The sequence below is a fragment of the Homo sapiens genome, chromosome 2 (assembly GCF_000001405.40).
Source record: "Homo sapiens chromosome 2, GRCh38.p14 Primary Assembly".
NCBI lineage: Eukaryota > Metazoa > Chordata > Mammalia > Primates > Hominidae > Homo > Homo sapiens.
Window position 1 is genome coordinate 37,411,285 of NC_000002.12, and position 24,225 is coordinate 37,435,509.

Genomic DNA, 24,225 nt, shown 5'->3' on the forward strand with positions numbered 1-24,225 from the left:
GAAAGGATATTATTGAACTTCTGTGAGATGGTAACCTTGTTCTGAGGTCTTGCCATCATCTATCCAGCCATTATAAAGAGTAGACTAGATATTCAAAGAGAAGTTTGTGAAGCAGGATAGTTTATTGGAGAGTCCGTTGTAGTCATAGGGAGAGTACCATGGCTCTTCTCTTCTCCTATAATCTCCTGTCCTGACCCCAAGCCACACGACTGTAGGAGAGCCACTCTAGAGGTGGGATGCCAATGAGAAAGTAGGGCTGATACCTTATTACCCAGTTGGATTTCCCTTATATAGCAAATTAGTGTTCCTCACTTGGCTCCTGTTTGAACTGGAGGGTAATGAATTGAAGAGACTGGAAGTGAAGCGAGATGAGCTATAGTAGGGCAGCGTGGATTCCTACTCTATGTTGGATCAATGATTCTTGAATTTCCTGCAGGCCAAGTGGGCACTGAGCTTGAGCTTGTGCCTTCTTATGGATAACCCACTCAGGAGGGTCTGATGCAGGCCAGAGGGCCCCAGGAGTAAAAAGGGGGGACAGGGTCTGGGGCAGGAGCCCAGGGAGATCAGGAGAGGTTGTGCAAGGGGATGTCTCACATGTAGGAGCCTGTGCCCTGCCAAGGGAGGCAGCTTGGAGATACTTGCTTCCAGGAAAGCACAGCCAGCCAAAGCAGCTGGGAGAGCTGAGCAAAACAAACCTCCACCTCTCCTCCTTCCGCACCGTGGAGAGGCAAAGCAGGGATGCAGGGAGGCAAAGGGAGTGGATGATACTCCTGCCCTTGGGATCCCTTGTAGGATAGGTCCTTTGGGTCAGGGATTAGGCCTGAGCTGGGTCAAAGGAAAGATCTTGAATTGGACATAAAGGTTGACGTTTTATACTAAACTAGATTAAACTTTTTAATATCTCAAAGAGATGGAAAAGCTGAAGAATGTGCCTAAGGTGTCATCAAGGGATAAAACATGGATAAAGGCAGTAAGTGGAGAAAAAAAAAAGAGTTTTAGGCTTGTGTTCCACTGGGTACAGAGCTTGTGGTTTTCTGGTTCCATCTGAGAGCGAGCGAGCTGCAAAGCACAGTTGACCTTGTGGTTGGAGGACCAGCTGTGACACTGTCTGTGTGGATCAATGACTCCTGTTGGACGTGAATGGGGTATCTCAGGGACACCAGCTGGGCTGTGTGAGGCCAGCTAAGAGCAGATGCCGCCCCTGTCCCTGCCTCTGCACCCCTCCTCTACCTTCAAACACTGCTTTGTCACTACGTAAGCTTCCTGTAGTTTAGATGACATTTGAAAGAAAAGGTGTGAAGGGACCGTGAATTGACAAAGATCTAGTTTCTACCATCTGGCATAATTAGGAAGTAATTTGAATTAGAAATTAAATTATTGTAGAGAAATAACATAAGTTTTATTCCTTGCACAGTTACCAGTGGATCACTTTTGAATACTTGTGCTTTCCGGGCACGTCGTATTCTCCAATAAGTTGTTGGTATAAATTTTTTCCACTCAAATAGCCATTAAAAGGGTTGAAAAACTACCTATTGGGTACAATGTTTGCTATTTGGGTAATGGGTACATTAGAAGCCCAATCTCTACCAGATGCAATATACCCATGTAATAAACAGGCACAGGTACCCCCGAATCTAAAATAAAATAAAATTAAACAAACAAACAAACAAACAAACACATAGCCATTATGGTTTACTAGATCTGCCCAATCCCTCTTGCTTCAAATCATTGGTCCTGGTAATTCAGCAAGGAATTGAAAACCCCAACACATTTTATTTTCTTATTTTTGACTATGAAATTAATATATGGCAATTAGAGAAATTTTTGAAAATTTAAAATACATAGAAAAAATTTTATCCAAGTATTACCACCTAGAGAATTCTACAGTTAATAGCGTCTTATATTTCTTGCCAGGATCCTGTCTTCGCATAGTTAACAAAGTTGTCATTATAGTGTATGTGCAGGTTTTTCCTCTGCTTTTTGAACTCTGTTATAGCATAAACACTTTCCATGTTATAGCAAGTTCTTTATAAACATTTCAATGGCTGCATAATAGTCTATCTTGTGAGTTTATGGTAATTTATATAATCACTTAGCTATCGTTGCTATCAAACAAAATTGCTAACACTGCCAAGGACATCTTTATGCAGTGTGGATGGGATAGAGACCGGAAGGCACTATATGGATCTTTGTTTAGAGACAGTGCCCTCTTAGGAAATACCACTTGCAGGGGGCCCCATGTTGTAGGCTAGTCTCTTAGCTCTTTCAGAGTTAATGTCTCACAGGGCTCTGAGCAAGCCTGGGAAGAGGTCTGGGGATGGAACATATAGGCTGAGGGCCTGTTATGTGCCTGACACACAGTTAGGCACTTCTGTGACTATTGTTGTGCATTCTTTACAACTGCCCTACAAAGTGGATAGCATCTCCATTTTGGAGGAGAATCCCGAGGCTTAGAAATATGAAACGACTTTCCCAAGGTCACAGTCAGGGAGTGGCAGGGTCTGGCTGATTCCACAGTCCAGGTCCTTCGCGTGGCCCTCATTTTATTCTGCAGGCTTTGGTACCTTGTGGGACACACTTAAAAGGCCAAGGAGTCCCCGGGTTTGGGGCGGTGTGGGGTAGATACAGCCCTGTCGGCTGCTGCTTTGTCTTGGGGCTGGAGATGGGGTGGATTAGGGCAGGAGACAGCAAAAGGGAAAACTAGCAAAACTAGAGATTTGCTAGTTAATGATGTTTTCTTGCAATTTTTTTTGGGGGGGGGCACGCAAAACATGTCTTGTGGCTCTTGTACTCAGAAGGCTGGAGGTAAGAGTTTGCTGGCTCTTGGCCAGGTGTGGTGGCTCACATGTATAATCCCAGCACTTTGGGAGGCCAAGGTAGGTGGATCACTTGAGGCCAGGAATTTGAGAAAAGCTTGGCCAACATGGCAAAACCCCATCTTTACTAAAAATACAAAAAATAGCCAGGCATGGTGGTACACGCCTGTAGTCCCAGCTACTTGGGAAGCTGAGGCATGAGAATTGCTCTAACCCAGGAGGTGGAGGCTGCAGTGAGCTGAGATCGTGCCATTGCACTCCAGCCTGGGCAATAAAGTGACTCTGCCAAAAAAAAAAAAAAAAAAAAAGTTCCCTGGCCCTCAATTTCCCTGAGACTTCTTTGGAGAGAAGTGAGACTTACTCTCTGTCCCTTTAATAGTGAAATGTCTTGGTGCGTTGGGCCCGGACTACCGTAGAAGTCTGAATAACTTCTCCACAGTTTCTTCCTTACTGGGTCAGTAACTCTGAATGGGCTTTCAGAGTTATTCTGAAAGATCACCACTAGGAGATGCACAAGATTCAAAGAAGTTAGAGCAGTGCTTGGTGATTTTTCTTTCACGTTTATCTGAGCTTTGCAGGTTTCTTTTGTTCTAAATTCATTGAGAATTGAGGGCGAAAATGTCAGTTTCTCAGATCCTATTAATTCTCCAAAGTGAAAAAAATCTACACTTGCCCGTAGTCACATCTAGTGAAACAGGCTGAAGGAACTGACAAACCAGATGCCATGTGTTAAGGATAATAATATGCGTAGCGCCTGATTCCTTTCAGGGAGATGTCAACACTGTTTTGTCACTTTGGTAGAGGACAGTGATGATGGCAGTGCAAATGGTTAACATTTATTGTGATTTCACTTCGCACCAGGTACCATGCTAATGCCTTTAGGTTCTCTTATCACATTTAACCCTCCTGTACACTGTCTCAATTCATGGACACAACAGTTTTGTTACCCTCATTTTGCAAGAAGAGGAAATTGAAGCATAGGGAGGTCGAGAAACTTATCCAAGTTTACCCACCTAGGAAGCAGCTGAGCTGCCATTTAGACTCAAGTTTCTCTGGCCCCAGAGCTGCTCACTTAACCAGTTAAGTATTCTGCTTCCTGGTTTTTATCCCAACTTGACAGATGAGGAGCCATTTGATAGAGGTCAGAGTAGTTAAGGAATTTGTTCTGGTTCTCAGCTGATTAGGGAAGAAGCTTAGACTAGGTGTCCCTTCTCCTGGTCAAGAGCGTTTCCCTTCTTTATCTTGCAGGCGCAGTGTCTGCTAGAGGCTACAAGAAAGAAAGAGGAAAGGTGGGGGCTCATTGGTGGGGCTGAGTCAAGGGGATAAGGGGATCTCAGCACAGAGGAAACAGTGGAAGGTTGCTGCGTGGCGGATTCTGCTACCACTGGGCCCTTGTGGGCTGCGGCCACCTTAAACCTGGCTTAGATCATGGGCTGATTGGATATGGCCTATCTCTGGACGCTGGGTAGAATAAGCTGAAGTGGATGGAGCAGCTTGAACAAAAACACTCTGCAACCCTCTTTGAGTCTTCCTGGCTTTGGAACTCCCTAGTCAGCTCTGTCAACACCGGGTGGCAGCCATCCCTTCCTGGAGGGGAGAGGTGCTTTGAGGTCCTTTCTTCCATCTTTGCTTAGCTCCATGACAGTGTTGGAACACAAAGCTGAATGATCTTACAATCTTTTCCTGTGCTTGTATGGATGTATGGGTTTGCTTTTTTTTTTTTCCCCTCTAGTCCAGATTTCTATCGCTTAGACACTGGTCTTCAAGAGAGGCTCACAGTTGTCACTCATGCAACCTTTATACTTATTCACACCCCACTCTATTCTTCTGACCATCAGCAGCTTCCTTTTCTTGGAGACTTCACCCTTGCAATGATCCAGGACTTCAAAGCTTGGCATGGCAGTGGAGGCCTTCTCCTGCTGTGGGTTAAGACACTGTCCCCAGGAGTCCCTTTGTGCAATACACAGTGCTGAACGACATGGAAGGATGGCACAGTTACCTCTCCAGAAGAGAGTGAGGCACCAGACCAGCTAGTTGAAATCCTTGGAAATTATGGATGAATGAATGTAATAGAATGTGATTTGATAGAGTGGAGAGGGTGGTTCTGGGAGGTGGAGGGGAACTCTTCGCAGCATTGCTATCCAAATGACATACTATAAATCAGGGGCCTCCAATCCTTGGACCATGAACTGATACTGATCTGTGGCCTGTTAGGAACTGGGCCACACAGCAGGAGGTGAGTGGCAGGTGAGTGAGGATTACCACCTGAGCTCCACTTCCTGTCAAATCAGTGGCGGCATTAGATTCTCACAGGAGGGGGAACCTTATCGTGAACTGCGCATGCGAGGGACCTAGATTGTGTGCTCTGTATGAGAATCCAATGCCTGATGATCTGAGATGGAACAGTTTCATCCCAAAACCATACCCACCCTCCCTTTGTGGAAAAATTGTCTTCTATAAAACCAGTCCCTGGGGCCGAAAAGGTTGGGGACCACTGCTATAAATGATGAATGAGAAAACCAGGCTTTAAGTCTTTCCCTCTCTCCCTTCCTTCTTTCTTCCTTTGTTTTTTTTTTTTCTTTTTCTTTTTCTGTTTTCTGACGGGCTTGTGAGCACACAGGTATGTGCTTCAGTGGCAGTCAACAGTTTTGCTGATTTCTTATTGTAACCTAGGCTAAAAAAATATTGGACAGTGAGTTGATAGTTGATAGTTGATTAAAAGTAATGGCAAAGACTGCAATTAATTTTGTACCAACCTAATAGAATTCTAATAAAGCTGGCTTAACTGGTGAGTATAAACTTTGCTGATGCTAGTTTCCTCTTCTAAAAATTAGAGATTTGGATAAGAAGAGTTTTTGGAAGTTTTGAGAGTCTCATTCATTCTAATATTTTATTTTTGGGAAAAAATGGGGATTTCAAACTGATATTTTGAGCAAGACAATGATACAAATCTTTAAAAACACAATGTGGATAAGGGTGTTGGGGTGGGTTCTTAGTCTCCAGGGTTGTTACGGATGCAAAGAGTGAGACCCTTGCCAAGGCCACCTATGTGGTGTGACCCACCATACAGTTTTTAAATGGTATCCACATAGAATACTCTTTAGGTTTGCGTGGTTATTGCACAAAGCTGACCATTGATAGCCTGCCGGGGTTTGCTTGTGTGTCTTAAACACTCTTAAGACAAATAAATTGTCCAGTGGTCTATATTTGGTGCTCTTTTTTTTCATCCCTGTGTACAGAGCTGAACTGAGCTGGCTGCTTGATCTTGGTCCAAATATAATGGCCCAATTGTCCCCTTATGTCAGGGGGTCGGGCTATGGAGCACACCCAGCGCCCTGTGGGAACCCACAGAAGGGAGGTGGCTATTTGGACATATAGTCTGTAGTGGAGACAAGTTAACGACCCTGCCTGGGGCATTCCAGAGTTTATTTAATGATAAAACTGGCCCCAGATTCTCCACTGGGGCTTGTAAGTCCTGTGCAGCACACGATGGGGTGAGAATGCAGTTAAACACACATCCTAAAGGCATTTTAGCTTGTGAGGAAATGGTAAATCCCCTCTGTGATTTGAAAATACCATTTAAAAAATTGTGCCAAGACAGTTTTTTTTTTTTTCCCTAACCCAGCTCTTATAAAGCAGAAAAACAGAATGGTAATTTAATCTATGACTATATGTGTCAAAGCATCTGATTGAAGAGTAGAAAGAATTCATCACTAGTGTCATGTTAATAAAAAAAATGCAGTTATCTGATTGAATTATCTGTACATATACTATTCTGAATCCAGTCAAATTGATTCATATTGATGTGGCCTAAATGTGCCATTGGCCTGAAACTCACAGTCAGTAAATCGGATATGAAAGTCTTTAATAAAACAATAAGCGTTACCCAAATATCAGCTTCTTAACATTATGACTCTGGCAGGTACTGAGTTTCTACTTTTGTTGGAGTTGGTGACAAACCTGAGTCAAGGTGTTGCCAAGGGAATGGGTCATTGCTAGGAGGACGTCTCTGAGCCTGAGGATAGACTCCTGGGGTGTCAATAGCATGGGTGACAGGGACATTGAGAAGAATGGGAAAGTCACCTTCTGAAGACAGGACCACCACTAACATCTTGCCTTGATGGGCCTTTCATTCCAAACCTAGTGGGTTTTGCAGATGTTCTCTCATTAACTAATTTGTTAAGCTACTTAAGGAGGGTCTGGGAAGGAAGGAAGGTGGGGGTCACAGGCTCTTGATATGCATTGTATTTTCTGTTCCTTTGGTCCGACCAGGACAGGAGTGATAGTGAATGAGTGGTGAGAGAGAGCACCTTTTGGGAATGGTTGAGAAAAGCAGTGGATTTTGCTCTCCCCGTGGATTCTTCCCTCTGCTAGACATGTGCAAAAACACATGTAGGCTGGACGAATCCCAGGGGAATCCCCCCAGGATGGAATCCCAGGGGGTTTTTCAGAGGGAAGACTCACTCTAAGAGGGAAGACAGTATTGGTCCAGCCAGGAAGACTTGTGTTAAATGTACATATGGGGACTTAACTATTTAAAAATGTGGAGGCTGGCCATGGTCAATCATGCCTGTAATCCCAGCACTTTTGGAAGCTGAGGTGGGAAGATCTCCTGAGTCCAGAAGTTTGAGACCAGCCTGGGCAATGTAGTAATAACCCATCTCTACAAAATAAATAAATAAATTAAATAAATAAATAAAAAATAAAAAAATTAATAAATACAAACATTAGCCAGGCGTGGTGGCATGCCCCTGTAGTCCCAGCTACTTAGGAGGCTGAAGTGGGAGAATTGCTTGAGCTCAGAGGTCGAGGTTGCAGTGAGGTAGGATTGTGTCACTGCATTTCAACCTGGGTGACAGAGTGAGACTATGTCTCTAAAATAATAAATTTTAAAAATGTGGAGATTGGTTTGAAAACATAGATTTTACTTTGAAGCTAGGGAGGAATAATGCAAAGGCGCTAATGACTCGGATATAGCTCCGGGCAAATGATGCAGCAAGGCAGGACGATCCAATAAAAGCGGGGTTAGTACAGGAAGTAGAGAGATCCATGGAAAGAATGGACAAGAAAAAGATGAGTCAAGAGAGAACAACACAAACACCGAGCCCTAATGTAAACTATGGGCTTTAGTTAATAATAATACATCAGTATTGGCTCATCAGTTATAAGAGATGGACTACACTAATCTAAGAAGTTAAGGATTGGAGAAACTGGGAAGCCAGATTCAGGAGATATATGGAAACTCTGTACTTTCTGCTCAAGTTTTCTGTAAGCCTAAAACTGCCTCCCTGCAATAAAGTTTATTAATTTAAAAAAATTAAAAAAAATAGGTGAGAGAATGTTGTGGGAAGGCTGAGCAAAGAGCTCTAGTCCTAAAGCTAACCCTCTAGTTGAATTAAAGCTAGAAAGAAAAAGAGAGAAATTTCAGAATGCATTGAAGAGAGAGTAGGACCTACCCTTAAAGTAAGGGGAAAAATTGCAACATGTCAGAATTTCCTCTGGATCAAGGAAGGTGGGAGTGCCACAATGTCAGTGTACTTAGAGATGAAAACTTGAACATGGCATGGGGAAGGACCGTAACACTCCGTAATGAGATGGGAGCTAAACCCAGGGAGAAGACTGAGGGGTAGGCGTGGGAAGGTCCAGTTAATAGCAATAATGACACTAATAACCATCACTCATAATAAGCAGTTACTCTATCAGGCATTGTGTCAAATAAACTGTTTACGGGCACTATTTTATTTACTCTTCATAACAACCACTAGAGCAAGCACCAATTTTTTTATTTTTATTTTTATTTTATTTTATTATTCTTTAAGTTTTAGGGTACATGTGCACAATATGCAGGTTTGTTACATATGTATACATGTGCCATATTGGTGTGCTGCACCCATTAAGTCGTCATTTAACATTAGGTATATCTCCAAATGCTATCCCTCCCCCCTTCCCCCACCCCACAACAGTCCCCAGAGTATGATGTTCCCCTTCCTGTGTCCATGTGTTCTCATTGTTCAATTCCCACCTATGAGTGAGAACATGCAGTGTTTGGTTTTTTGTCCTTGAGATAGTTTGCTGAGAATGATGGTTTCCAGTTTCATCCATGTCCCTACAAAGGACATGAACTCATCGTTTTTTATGGCTGCATAGTATTCCATGGTGTATATGTGCTACATTTTCTTAATCCAGTCTATCGTTGTTGGACATTTGGGTTGGTTCCAAGTCTTTGCTATTGTGAATCATGCTGCAATAAACATACGTGTGCATGTGTCTTTATAGCAGCATGATTTATAATCCTTTGGGTATATACCCAGTAATGGGATGGCTGGGTGAAATGCTATTTCTAGTTCTAGATCCCTTAGGAATCGCCACACTGACTTCCACAATGGTTGAACTAGTTTACAGTCCCACCAACAGTGTAAAAGTGTTCCTATTTCTCCACATCCTCTCCGGCACCTGTTGTTTCCTGACTTTTTAATGATCGCCATTCTAACTGGTGTGAGATGGTATCTCATTGTGGTTTTGATTTGCATTTCTCTGATGGCCAGTGATGATGAGCATTTTTTCATGTGTCTTTTGGCTGCATAAATGTCTTCTTTTGAGAAGTGTCTGTTTATATCCTTCGCCCACTTTTTGATGGGGTTGTTTGTTTTTTTCTTGTAAATTTGTTTGAGTTCATTGTAGATTCTGGATATTAGCCCTTTGTCAGATGAGTAGGTTGCGAAAATGTTCTCCCATTCTGTAGGTTGCCTGTTCACTCTGATGGTAGTTTCTTTTGCTGCGCAGAAGCTCTTCAGTTTAATTAAATCCCATTTGTCAATTTTGGCTTTTGTTGCCATTGCTTTTGGTGTTTTAGACATGAAGTCCTTGCCCATGCCTATGTCCTGAATGGTATTGCCTAGGTTTTCTTCTAGGGTTTTTATGGTTTTAGGTCTAACATGTAAGTCTTTAATCCATCTTGAATTAATTTTTGTATAAGGTGTAAGGAAGGGATCCAGTTTCAGTTTTCTACATATGGCTATCCAGTTTTCCCAGCACCACTTATTAAATAGGGAATCCTTTCCCCATTGAGCAAACACCAATTTTATCTCCACTTCTGAGATGAAGAAGCTGAGACTCAGGGAGGTTAAGTAACTCGTCCAGGGTCACACAGTTCACAAGTGTCAGGGCCAGGATTTGTAATCAAGATGGCTAATGCCATAGGCTGGCACTTAACCATTGATCTTTATTCCTTGGGAGTTGCTCTCTGAATAATTTCTTGCTTCAGAAATAGTACTTTAAAACTCTAAGATGACTAAATATCATGCAATTGTATTGTAAATATTTTGCCTCTGTTTCTACCACATCACACATCCCCTTGCTCTATACAAACTTGTACGATGACATTTGTTTGCTGGACTGGAGAGAAACAGAGGCAGAGCTGTGCTTTCAGAGAAGGCCTTGAGTCAGAGAAGGGCAGAGACAATGACTTTCTTTTTTTTTCCCTTTAGTAAAAAATTAATCCCTGTTTATTGTAACTAATTTAGAAATGGTAAGCACAAAGAAAATGCACACGGTTATTTTGCCTAATTTTAAAGGGGAAACAAGAATCCTTCTGAGAGCTACGTGCAGGTCAGTGTAGTGCGACAGATTTACTGAGCAATGCCATGTGTTAGACACCACACCAGGCTCTGGGGAGGGAAAAGATAAATCAGACCCGATCCCTATTCTAAATCACGGCATATGAGAAAACAAAGAGCCCCACCTTGTATGATAAATAAATTTGAAACTCTGTTCAGTACACACATTCCATCCAGACCACATCACCTCTGACTCCAGAGAACTCCCAAGGCTGGAGGTAATGCCTCTTCTAGAACAGGGGTCCCCAAGCCCTGGGCTGTGGACTGGTACTGATCAGTTTCCTGTTAGGAACTGGGCTACTCAGCATTACCACCTGAGCTCTGCTTCCAGTCAGATCAGCCACGGCATTCGATTCTCAGAAGGAGAAACCCTATTGTGAACTGTCCATGTGACGGACCTGAGTTGTGTGCTCCTTAGGAGAATCCAACTAATGACTGATGGTCTGAGGTGGAACAGTTTCATCTGGAAATCATCCTTCCACCCCACAACCCCCAGGCCGCCATCCGTGGTTTTGTCTTCCACAAAACCGGTCCCTGATGCCAAAAAGTTTGGGGACCGCTGTTCTGGGAGACATTGTAATGATGAATCTCAGCTGCTGAGTCTTCAGTCTGAGCCAATATCCCGTTGGTGTTAACACGCTGTGTGAAGATGGCCCAGATGAGGAAATCAAAGCTGCATGTGAAACCAAACCCACACACGCTCCCAGCAACACGCAAAGCTTTCACCACATTCATGGCTGCCTCCAGTCTTGGTGAAACATGGAGAAAGCAAACATTAGCCAGGCGTGATGGCATGTGCCTGTAGTCCCAGCTACTCAGGAGGCTGAAGTGGGAGAATTGCTTCAGCTCAGGGAGTTGAGGTTGCGGTGAGCTAGGACTGTGTCACTGCATTCTAGCCTGGGTGACAGAGTGAGACTCTGTCTCTAAAATAATAAATAAATTTAAAAAAATGTGGAGATTGGTTTGAAAACATAGATTTTACTGTGAAGCTAGCGAGGAATTATGAATTTTACTTTATGAACTTTACTTTGAAGCTAGGGAGGATAGATAAATTGAATCTATCAATTACTGATAGATTCAACAATTAACTCTGACCCCAGAGACCCTGCTATGTGCCAGATATGAGGGTATCAGGCTGGGTCCCTGGGAACCAACAAGACTTGGCTCACCCAGCTATGGAATTCTCAGATGAGCTGGGCTTGGCTTATCTCCTGTGCCGTTTACAGAGGCCCAAGTGCATTACCATAGACCCATAGTGACTCAAGGAGTAGTGTACTTCACGAACTTTGAAAGTATAAAAGTAACTCCTCCTTCAGAGTCCACAGGTACCTCTGACTGCACAGATTGGCTATGGGCAATCTATGATAATGCACTCAGCTGCCCGCCATGTGGATATGCACACAAGAAGACAATGTAGGTACACTGGATATGCATATTGGAAGACTTAGGTGGTTGCTAACTTCTCCCAAGTACCCACCTACAATTTGGGGTGTGCCGTTCATCTTGAATAATCCATTGGTTCACTCATTTAGCAAATATTATGTACCCAGTATGTGTCAGGCCCAGTTCTAGTAAATGGAGATAATAGCAATAAGCAAACATTTAAGGCCTGTTACTGAAATGCCAGGGATTTGGTCTCAGTTCTGTTGCTTGCTGCACAGAATGCCAGCCAGGGAGAATGGGAGATAAAGTCTCAAATCCGTCTTCCTGACCCACTAAACTTGGGGGTGTTTATATAGCAGGGAAGGTGGGAAAAACAGGAATTGGGGAGGGGTAAGGGAGCAAAAATGATAGATGAGGGGTCTGGTGCCTCATTTGGATGTGGTGATCTTTTAAGTTTTAGTTCCTTGCCTGAGGGTTGGTTTCCAGAGGCAGGAACTCGGGTAAGACAAATGTAAGTTTCCAGTTTTAAGACCAGGGAGGGTCAATTTCAATGTTTATTCAAAAAACTGTAAATGTTAGTTCTACAGGACAATTGGGCCGATTTCACCATCATGGAGCTTGCCTTCGTATGTGTGTGCATTTGTGTATGTAAGACAATAAATAAATTTAAAAAACAATAAATAAATGAATAAAATGTGTAGTATGTCAGATGATAAGGGTGATGGAGAAAATTAAGAGCAAGAGAGGAAGAGGACTGCTGGGACTTGGGAAAAAGTTAAGATTTTCAGAGCATTCCTGGCAGAGAAAAGAGTGAAGTGCAAAGGCCTTGAGACAAGGCGTATTTAGCACGTTCAAGAAACATCCAGGAGGGCACTGCCTAGGGGCAGAGTGGGGCAGGGGAGAGGGGGCAGTGGAGGGAGAGGAGGTCAGAGGTGATGCAAGGCCAGATTGGCCTTAGCTTTTCCTCTGAAGGAGAAAGGGAGCAACCACAGGTTTGGTCAGGGGAAAGGCATGATCTGACTTTTGTTTTAAGAGTATAATTCTTGCTGCTCCACTGCGAAAAGACTCTAGCAGGACGAGGTAAGAAGTAAGGAGATCAATTAGAGGCTATTGCAACAGCCAGGATGATAGATGACGATGGCTGGGGCTAAGGTGATATCAGTGGTGTTATTGGCATTGAATCCGTATCCATATGGGCCTGCAGCAATCTCATTTCTTGCCTCCTGAGAAGAAAGAATTGGACTGAGCAGCATAAGGCAGAAGGAGAGACTGAGGCAAGTTTTAGAGCAGGAGTGAAAGTTGATTAAAAAGCTTTAGAACAGGAATGGAAGGAAGGAAAGTACACTTGGAAGAGGGTCAAGTGGGCGACTTGAGTGATCAAGTGCACGGTTTGATCTTCTGACTTGGGATTTTATACATTGGCTTACTTCTGGGGTCTTGCGTTACTTCTCCCCTGATTCTTCCCTTGGGGTGGGCTGTCCGCACGTGCAATGGCCTACTAGCGCTTGGGGGAGGAGTGTGTGCAGTGTGTTTACCAGAGTTGTATGCGTGCTCACTTAAGGCGTTCTTCCCTTACCAGTCTAGCATTCCTAGAGGAAGGTCATATAACAGTTAAACTCCGCCATTTTGCCTCTTAATGCGCATGCTGTAGCCCATTCGCCCAACCCCTGAGATCATATTGGGAAGCTGCTAACCACCAGTTTCAGGTGTTTTCTATCTACTAGGAGACTGCCTTTCCCTCGCACTGGCTGTGACCAATTATTATTTTAGAGAGACCCTTAATAACTGACTGACCATCACCTGATGGTCCTGGTGTGTGTGTTGGGGGAGCCCTCTCCTGCCCCACTCTTGCCTGACTAGCTACCTACTGTAACAGTGGAGGTGGTGACAGTTGAATTCTGGCCGGGCGCAGTGGCTCACGCCTGTAATGCCAGCACTTTGGGAGGCCAAGGAGGGCAGATCACAAGGTCAGGAGTTCAAGACCAGCCTGGCCAACATGGTGAAACTAAAAATACAAAAATTAGCTGGGCATGGTGGTGCACACCTGTAATCCCAGCTACTCACGATGCTGAGGCAGAATTGTTTGAACTGAGACCCAGGAGGCGGAGGTTGCAGTGAGCTGAGATTGTGCTATTGCACTCCAGGCTGGGGTACAGAGCGAGACTCCATCTCAAAAAAAAAAAGTTGAATTATGGATGCATGTCGTTAAGTAGTGTCAAAGGGATTTCACAAGAGATTGGATGCAGAATATTACAGAAAGAGAGGAGTCCAGCATCTGAGCTACAGGAAGGGTGCAGTTGCCGTTAACTGAGATGGGGAAGAATGGGGAGGAACAGATTTGAGGGCAAGCATCAGAAGCTTAGTTTAAGACATGTAAGTTTGAGATGGTTATTAGACATCCAAGTGGAGATGGCTATTTATACAAGCCTGGAGTTCAGGGGACAGGTCTGGGCTAGAGATAAATTATGCTTTGCCAGCGATAGGGGCTATTTACAGTCACCAACTTGGGTGAGATCACCGAGGCAGTGAGTGTAAAGAGAGAGAAGAGGCCAGAGCAGGGTGCTGGGCTCTCTCTTCACTGCTGTCAATGGAGGCATGTGAGTGGATATATACGTATATAGGTATATGTGTAGTTGTTCACAGGAGTGAGTCCAGCTTTTATTATCTACTTGAAAGAATGGATATTTCAGCACATAATGTCAGAATTGGCTGGGACATTAGAGATCATTTCAAGTGGGATCACCTTGTTTTAGAGCTGAGAAAAGAAGAGAAAGGAATTGTTTCCTGCAGATGAGCTGCTTTGTGGCTCCTAGCTGTAGAAGGGTGTGTATGTGTGTGTGTGTTTTGTGTGTGTGTGTTGTGGTAGAGATGGAGGTGCTACTCACACATTGGGTGCCATTTCTCATTTACTAAGCCAACAAGTGTCCCTGCCTTTTCTCAGATATGGACCTCTCCAGAGCCATAGGATCTGAAGATGGAGGTTAGAATGGAGCTGAGATGTAATCAAACCATACAATTTGTTTTCATCCCTTCTCCTCCTTCCTTTGAGGTTCTAGTGCTCTTAGTTTCAATTCAAGTTTCCCTTCAGGGATTACATCTTATATCTTAAACACTCTAGTGTGAAATTATTGTATTTTCTATGTCGGCTCTCCCAATGACTATTTGCACTTGAGGCCTTATATCTTCCATAGTAGGATGAAAGGCTTTGTGATGGTGGGGCTGCAGTGAGAGTGGGGGAGGTAGAGCTGTAAAAAGCAGTCAGCTCATGATCTTCCCCCATGCTTCTCTGAAATGTAGAAGGCACAGAAGCATGAGAATTGGGGGTCTTCTTAAGCACAGCCTGACCAGACTACAGAGATTCTGGGGACCCAGGACTGGAAGGTGGGAGCTTGAGTCAAGAAAAACAATGATAACACTTGTGATCAAGACTACATATTTTTAATATACATGAACGCATTTAAACTTTGTAACAGTCCATGGAAGAAGGCACATTATCTTTATTTTACAGATAGGGAAATTGCGGTTCAGAAGACAAGTAACTAAAAGGAGAAGCAGCAGGCTTTGAACATTGGTCTCTAAGACTTCAAAGCCACACTGAGGAACAGTTTTAAAGGGATTAAATCTACTAGATACCGTGGAAATTAGGAGCACGGGCTTTGGAAACAATATAATTGATTTTAAATCCTGGATCTGCCATTTACTAGCTGTGAAAACTTGTTCAAATTGTATAACCTTGAACCTGTGTTTCCTGGGAAGGATTGCTGAGAAGATTAAATGAAGTAATGTATTTTAAAGACACAGCACAGTGCCTGGTGAATTATTGTGATTAATTAATGGTAAAAATTACTCAGGTTCTAACTGCTGAGAGGCTGGCATGCAACACTATAGACACACTATAGTTGAGAATTGGCATCTGTTGTGACTGATTGTCTCATGCTGTACCAGTTGTTGAATATTCTGACTGTCTCTCCTGATCTGGGGGACCAGGGAACACTCCTAAATCCATATAGGGCAGGTCATAAGAGCTGAAAGCCCAACCAACTGCTGAGGGCAGGGGATTCAGAGTTAGAGTGAGACCAGCAGTAAGAGGATGCAATGCCAAGGCAAAGATCAGGACACTATCCAATCTGTATGCCACAATGGGTATGTAAACCAAAAATAAATTCTGAGACCCTCATCCATCTGAATGAACCCATCCTCTTGGCAAAGGGCTTTCCAGAATTAACCAGAAAAACTGGTCCAGGCCATAATGAGAAGTGGAGCTCAGACATGCCTCATTATACCCTCCTCCCTTTTGGAATTACTGTTAGTCATAGAACAGACTCTTTAAGTCTGATAAGAAACATTTACCATCTATTCTTTCTAAAACCTGCTCTCTGGAGGCTTCACCAGCATGAGAAAACCTTGGTCTCTACTACTTGTTATCTTAACCCAGACATTCCTTTCTAAGTCTTTAGACAACAACTTAACTCTTTCAACCAATTGCCAATCAGAAAATCTTGGAATCTTTAAATGACCTGGAAGCCTGCATTTTTAGTTGTCCCACCTTTCCAGACTGAACCAATGTACATTCTACATGTCTGTGTTGATATCCTATGTCTCTCTAAAATGTAGAAAACCAAGTTGTGGTCCAACCACCTTGGGCATATGTTCTGGGTCTCCTGAGGGCTCTATCATGGGCCATTGTTCACTCATATTTGGCTCAGAATAAATCTCTTCAAATATTTCATGGAGTTTGACTCTCTTCATCAACAGGTGCTTGGACTATAATAACCTGGAGGGTTCTTCAAGTCAGGCTCCTTGAATTTGGCCAGGGCTATGTCTGTTTTTCAAGTGTGAAATGAGACTGAATCCAGAGGTGCACCAGAGATAAAGAAGGTGCATCTGGATGAGTTAGAAGGCTGAAGGCATGGGAGTACAGGCAACGTCTACCTCTTGTTCCCGACTATTGGTCAGCACTGAGGGTGAAACATTCATCCAGGAGCCCAAATTACACATCTAGAGATTGTTTGATGGTTAAGGACCCCAGGGTCCTCAATATTCCTCAAATATGGAACATTGGTATGTTTGTTTATTTTTGAGACAGGGTCTCACTCTGTCACCCAGACTGGAGTGCAGTGGCATGATCTCAGCTCACTGCAACCTCTGCCTCCCAGGCTCAAGCAATTCTCCTGCTTCAGCCTCCTGAGTATCTGGGATTACAGGCGTGTACCACTACCGCCCAGCTAATTTTTGTATTTTTTAGTGGAGACGGAGTTTCACCATGTTGGCTAGGCTGGTCTTGAACCCCTGACCTCAAATGATCCACCCGCCTCAGCCTCCTATGCTGATTATTTTAAACTGAAGTTCACTGAAGGTCAGCAGATGCTGGAAGACACTTTACTCTGATAAATCTTATCTACCTTAAGACTTGAGCTACCAGAGAGAACACCATTGCCTTCCACCCTCTCCCTTAAATCTCATTTTCTATACCAGAACAGAAGACTGAGGAATGTAATCACATCTGGATGGACTTTTTCACAAGATAATGTTTCCCTGTCTTGTGCATTCAAATTCCAAAAAGAATCATTTACAAACCATTATCTGGTCTTTGGTTACATTTACAGCACCCCTACTTCCCTCTTTCCAATAAAGAAGGTATTTATGTGTCAACCATCTGATCTTTCTTTGAGTTTTCTTTTTTTTTTAAATTTGTTTGTTAACATTAACAAATTTATTAGCTCTTCTCATATTAACCTGTCTTTTGCTATAGGGGTATCAGCTGTGACCCTTATGATGGGGAGGAAAAAGATAACTCCCTTTTTGTCCCTATAATAGCAAGAAATTAGAGCAAAGAACATTGAATTTATTAAGGAGCATGTCCTTTGGGCTATATCGCTGTCAATCTCTATAACAAACATGGGTTCTCTACAAGAAAATGAACCCTGCCCTCTTTGTCAGGGTTCTCTTAATATTAGTGAATCCACTTAAATTTATTTTTTATTTCCATAGGTTATTGGGAACAGGTGGTGTTTGGTTACATGAGTAAGTTATTTAGTAGTGATTTGTGAGATTTTGGTGCACCCATCACCCGAGCAGTATACACTGCACCCTGTTTGTAGTCTTTTATCCCTCACCCTTTTCCCACCCTTTCCCCCTGAGTTCCCAAAGTCCATCATGTCATTCTTATGCCTTTGCATCCTCATAGCTTAGCTCCCACTTATGAGTGAGAACGTATGATGTTTGGTTTTCCACTCCTGAGCTACTTCACTTAGACTAATAGTCTCCAATCTCATCCAGGTCGCTGCAAATGCCATTAATTCATTCCTTTTTATGGCTGAGTAGTATTCCATCATATATATACACCACAGTTTCTTTATCCACTCGTTGATTGATGGGCATTTGGGTTGGTTCCACATTTTTGCAATCGCGAATTGTGCTGCTATAAACATGCGTGTGGAAGTACCTTTTTTTGTATAATGACTTCTTTTCCTCTGGATAGATCCCAAGAAGTGGGATCGCTGGATCAAATGGTAGTTCTACTTTTAATTCTTTAAGGAATCTCCACACTGTTTTCCATAGTGGTTGTACTAGTTTACATTTCCACCAGCAGTGTAGAAGTGTTCCCTGTTCACTGCATCCACTCCAACATTTAATATTTTTTGATTTTTTTGATTATGGCCATTCTTGCAGGAGTAAGGTATCCTATTGTGGTTTTGATTTGCATTTCCCTGATCATTAGTGATGTTGAGCATTTTTTCATATGTTTGTTGGCCATTTGTATATCTTCTTTTGAGAATTGTCTGTTCATGTCTTTAGCCCACTTTTTGATGGGATTGTTTGTTTTTATCTTGCTGATTTGTTTGAGTTTGTTGTAGAGTCTGGATATTAGTCCTTTGTCAGATGTATAGATTGTCAAGATTATCTCCCAATTGTGTCGTCTGTTTACTCTGCTGACTCTTCCTTTTGCCATGCAAAAGCTCTTTAGTTTAATTAAGTCCTAGCTATTTATCTTTGTTTTTATGGCATTTGCTTTTGGGTTCTTGGTCATGAAATCCTTGTGTAATCCAATGTCCAGAGGGGTTTTTCCAATGTTATTATCTTCCAGAAATTTTATAGTTTCAGGTCTTAAAGTCCTTGATCCATCTTTTTTTTTTCTTATTTATTTATTTATTTATTTATTTATTTTTGATGGAGTTTTGCTCTTATTGCCCAGATTGGAGTGCAATGGTGCGATCTCAGCTCACTGCAGCCTTCACCTCCTGGGTTCAAGTGAGTCTCCTGCCTCAGCTTCCTGACTAGCTGGGATTACAGGCTCCCGCTACCATGCCCAGATAACTTTTTTTTTTATTTTTAGTAGAGACAGCGTTTTGCCATGTTGGCCAGGCTGGTCTCAAGTTCCTGGCCTCAGATGATCCGCCTGCCTTGGCCTCCCAAAGTGCTGGGATTACAGGCATGAGCCACTGTGCCCGGCCCCCTTGATCCATCTTGAGTTGATTTTTATATAAGGTGAGAGATGAGGATCCAGTTTCATTCTCCTACATGTGACTACCCAATTATCCCAGCACCATTTGTTGAAAAGGGTGTCCTTTCCCCACTTGATGTTTTTGTTTGCTTTGTCAAAGATCAGTTATTTAGGTTTATTTCTGGGTACTCTATTCTGTTCTATTGGTCTATGTGCCTAGTTTTATACAAGTATCATGCTGTTTTGGTGACTGTGGCCTTATGTATAGGATGAAATCAGATACTGTGATGCCTCCAGATTTGTTCTTTTTGCTTAGTCTTGCTTTGGCTATGCAGGCTCTTCTTTAGTTCCACATGAACTTTAGCATTGGTTTTTCTAATTCTGTGAAGAATGATGGTGGTACTTTGATGGGAATTGCATTGAATTTGTAGGTTGCTTTTGGCAGTATTGTCATTTTCACAATATTGATTCTGCCCAGGCAAGATCATGGAATGTATTTCCATTTGTTTATGTCATCTATGATTTCTTTCAGTAGTATTTTTTAGTTTTTCTTGTAGAGGTCTTCTACCTCCTTGATTACGCATATTCATAAGTATTTTTTTTTGCATCTATTGTAAAAGGGGTTGAGTTCTTGATTTTATTCTCAGCTTGGTCACTGTTGGTGTATAGAAAAGCTACTAATTTGTGTACATTAATTTTGTATCTGGAAACTTTGCTGAATTCTTTTATCAGTTCTAGGAGCTTTCTGGAGGAGTCTTTAGGGTGTTCTGGGTAAACAATTATATCATCAGCAAACAGCAATGGTTTGACTGCCTCTTTACTGATTTGGCTGCCCTTTATTTCCTTCTCTTGTCTGATTGCTCTGGATAGGACTTCCAATAGTATGTTGAAGTGGAGTGGTGAGAGTGGGCATCCTTGTCTTGTTCCAGTTCTCCGAGGGAATGCTTTCAACAGTTCTCCATTATGTTGGCTGTGGGTTTCTCATAAATAGCTTTTATTATGCTGAGGTATGTACTTTGTAGGCCGATTTTGCTGAGAGTTTTAATCATAAAGGGATGAATTTTTTTCTGCATCTATTGAGAGGATCATGTGATTTTTGTTTTTAATTCTGTTTATGTGGTGTATCACATTTATTGACTTGTGTATGTTAAAACATCCCTGCATCCCTGGTTTGAAACTCACTTGATCATGGTGGATTATCTTTTTGATATGTTGTTGGATTTGGTTAGCTAGTATTTTAAGGATTTTAGCATTTATGTTCATCAGGGATATTGGTCTGTAGTTTTCTTTTTTGGTTATATCCTTCCCTGGTTTTGGTATTAGGGTGATACTGGCTTCATAGAATGATTTAGGGAGGGTTCCCTCTTTCTCTGTCTTGTGGAATAGTGTCAATAGGATTGGTACCAATTCTTCTTGGAATGTCTGGTAGAATTCTGCTGTGTATCTGTCTGGTCCTGGGCTTTTTTTGTTGGTAATTTTTAAATTACCATTTCAATCTCACTGCTTGTTATTGGTCTGTTCAGGGTATCTAATTTTCCTGATTTAAGCTTGGAGGATTATATCTTTCCAGGAATATATCCATCTCTTCTAGGTTTTCTAGTTTATGTGTGTAAAGGTATTCACAGTAGCCTTGAATGATCTTTTGTATTTCTGTGGTGTCAGTTGTAATATCTCCTGTTTCATTTCTAATTGAGCTTATTTGATTTTTTCTAGTCTTTTCTTGGTTAATCTTGCGAATGGTCTATCAATTTTATTTATATTTTCAAAGAACCAGCTTTTTGTTTTATTTGTCTTTTGTATTTTTTTTTTTCAATTTCATTTAGTTCTGCTCTGATCTTGGTTATTTCCTTTCTTCTGCTGGGTTTGGGTTTGGTTTGTTCTTATTTCTCTAGTTCCTTGATGTGTGACCTTAGATTGTCTGTGCTCTTTCAGACTTTTTAGTGTAGGCATTTAGGGCTATGAACTTTCCTCTTAGCATAGCACTGCCTTTGCTATATTCCAGAGGTTTTGATAGGTTATGTCACTATTGTCGTTCAGTTTGAATAATTGTTTAATTTCCATCTTGATTTCATTTTTGACCCAATACTCGTTCAGGAGCAGGTTATTTAATTTCCATTGTATTTGCATGGTTTTAAAGGTTCCTTTTGGAGTTGATTTCCAGTTTTATTCCACTGTGGTCTGAGAGAGTGCTTGATATAATTTCAATTTTCTTAAATTTATTGAGGCTCGTTTTCTGGCCTATCATATGGTCAATCTTGGAGAAAGTTACATGAACTGTTGAATAGAATGTGTATTCTGCAGTTGTTGGAATGTTCTGTATATATCTGTATATATCTGTTAAGTCCATTTGTTGCAGGGTATAGTTTAAATCTAGTGTTTCTTTGTTGACTTTCTGCCTTGATGATCTGTCTAGTGCTGTCAGTGGAGTATTGAAGTCCCCCACCATTATTGTGTTACTGTCTATCTCATTTCTTAGGTCTATTAGTAATTGTTTTATAAATTTGGGACCTCCAGTGTTAGGCACATATATGTTTAGGATTGTGATATTTTCCTGTTGGACATGCCTTTTGTCATTTCATAATGTCCTTCTTTGTCTTTTTTACTGCTGTTGCTTTAAAGTTTGTTTTGTCTGATAAGAATAGCTACTCCTGCTTGCTTTTGGTGTCCATTTGCATGAAATGTCTTTTTCTACCCCATTGCCTTAAGTTTATGTGAGTCCTTATGCATTAGGTAAGTCCCTTGAAGGCAGCAGATAGTTGTTTGGTGAATTCTTATCCATTCTGCAGTTGTGTATATTTTAAGTGGAGCATTTAGGTCACTTATATTCAATGTTAGTATTGAGATGTGAGGTACCATTCCATTCATCATGCTGTTTGTTGCCTGTATACCTTGACTTTTTGTTTTTGTTTTTTAAATTGTATTTTTGTTTTGTAGGTCCTGTGAGATTTATGCTTTAAAGAGGTTCTGATTTGATGTGTTTCCAGTATTTGTTTCAAGACTTAGAGCTCCTTTTAGCAGTTCTTGTAGTGGTGGCTTGGTAGTGGTGAATTCTCTCAGCACTTGTTTTTGGAAAAAGACTGTATCTTTTCTTTATATACGAAGCTTAGTTTTGCTGGATACCAAATTCTTTGCTGATAATTGTTTTGTTTGAGGAGGCTGAAGATAGGGCCCCAATCCCTTCTAGCTTATAGTGTTCCTGCTGAGAAATCTGCTGTTAATATGGTAGGTTTTCCTTTTTAGGTTACCTGGTGCTTTTGTCTCACAGCTCTTAAGATTCTTTCCTTATTAACTAATTAGAGCCTATTAACTTTAGATAACCTGATGACAATGTGCCTAGGCAGTGATCTTTTTGTGATGAATTTCCCAGGTGTTCTTTGTGCTTCTTGTATTTGGATATCTAGGTCTCTAGCAAGGCTGGGGAAGTTTTCCTTGATTGTTCCCCCAAATATTTTTCCAAGCTTTTAGAATTGTCTTCTTCCTCAGGAACATTGATTATTCTTAGGATTGGTCATTTAACATAATCCCAGACTTCTTGGAGGCTTTGTTTATATTTTCTTATTCTTTTTTCTTTGTGTTTGTTGGGTTGGGTTAATTTGAAGACCTTGTCTTCAGATTCTGAGTTTGTTTCTTCTACTTGTTTGATTCTATTGCTGAGAATTTCCATAGCATTTTGCATTTCTGTAAGTGTGTTCGTTGCTTCCTGAAGTTTTGATTGTTTTTTTATTTATGCTATTTATTTCATTGAATATTTCTCCCTTCACTTCTTGTATCATTTTTTTGATTTCCTTACATTGGACTTCACCTTTCTCTGGTGCCTCCCTGATTAGCTTAATAACCAGTCTCCTGAATTCCTTTTCAGGTAAATCAGGGATTTCTTCTTGGGTTGGATCAATTTCTGGTAAGCTAGTGTGACTTTTGGGGGTGTTAAAGAACATTGCTTTGTCATATTACCAGAGTTAGTTTTCTAGTTCCCTCTCATTTGGGTAGCTGTATCAGAGGAAAGGTCCAGAGCTGAAGGCTGTTCAGATTCTTTTGTCCCACGAGGTGTTCTCTTGATGTAATACTCTCCCCCTTTTCCTGTGGATGCGGCTTCCTGAGAGTCAAGCTGTAGTGATTATTCTCTCTTCTGGATCTAGCCACCCAGCAAGTCTACCAGGCTCTAGGCTGGTACCGGGGGTTGTATGGACAGAGTCCTGTGATGTGAACCATCTGTGGGTCTCTCAGCTGTGGATATCAGCACAGTATTTGGGGTGTCTCCCGGGTCTGGCAGGTGCAATCTGCTTCCTTCAGATGGTATGTGGGTCCTCTTGGGTTTCCTGATTTATTCCTGCAGTCATTCTGGAGCAAAAATTCACGATGTGAGCCTCCACGCACTGCTCTGTCTGTCCGAGTTGGAGCTGCAATCTAGTCCTGCCTCCATCTGCCATGATCCCTTCTGCCTCTAACCCCTGTCCTGAGGGAATGTGTGACTCCACTTTGATTCTGACTACTTTTACATCACCTCGACAAGTTCATATTTGTATGCTGGAGGTATTCTGTCTGGGTAACTGGCATTGGCCATTAAGAATCAGAGCTCCCTTTCTCTTGGGAAGGAGACCTGCTGAGAAATTAACTCTATACAGGAAACTCCTGCTGTTATCAAATATAATGTTGGGCAAAATGCAATAACCATTTAAAAATTACTTTTAGACTCGATAACATTTGAGAGCTAACCTATATTCTTTCCTGAGAGTCATGGAAGATTTAATCAGTTTATTTGCAACCCATCTCTTACAGTAAATTATCAATGGTCAAGATTCATAGTCAAATATCCACATGGTATCAAAACAAGTAGAGTAGACAAAAAGCCACATAAAAGCTCCATGAAAGGGAAGGGAATTGTAGGCTAGAGGAATCTGGAGGGTTCAGGAAAGACATGCGTCTTTTTAAATTTTTATTTTATATTTTTAAATTTTAATTTTATATT

The 24,225-nt window shown here is 41.8% G+C and overlaps 1 annotated feature.

Annotated features, from left to right (window-relative positions):
• Positions 5,443–7,033: an enhancer, noted in NCBI's record as "VISTA enhancer hs1480". NCBI's record gives its function as "enhancer in: limb[3/6]" and the evidence as "EXISTENCE:transgenic organism evidence [ECO:0001131][PMID:17130149]".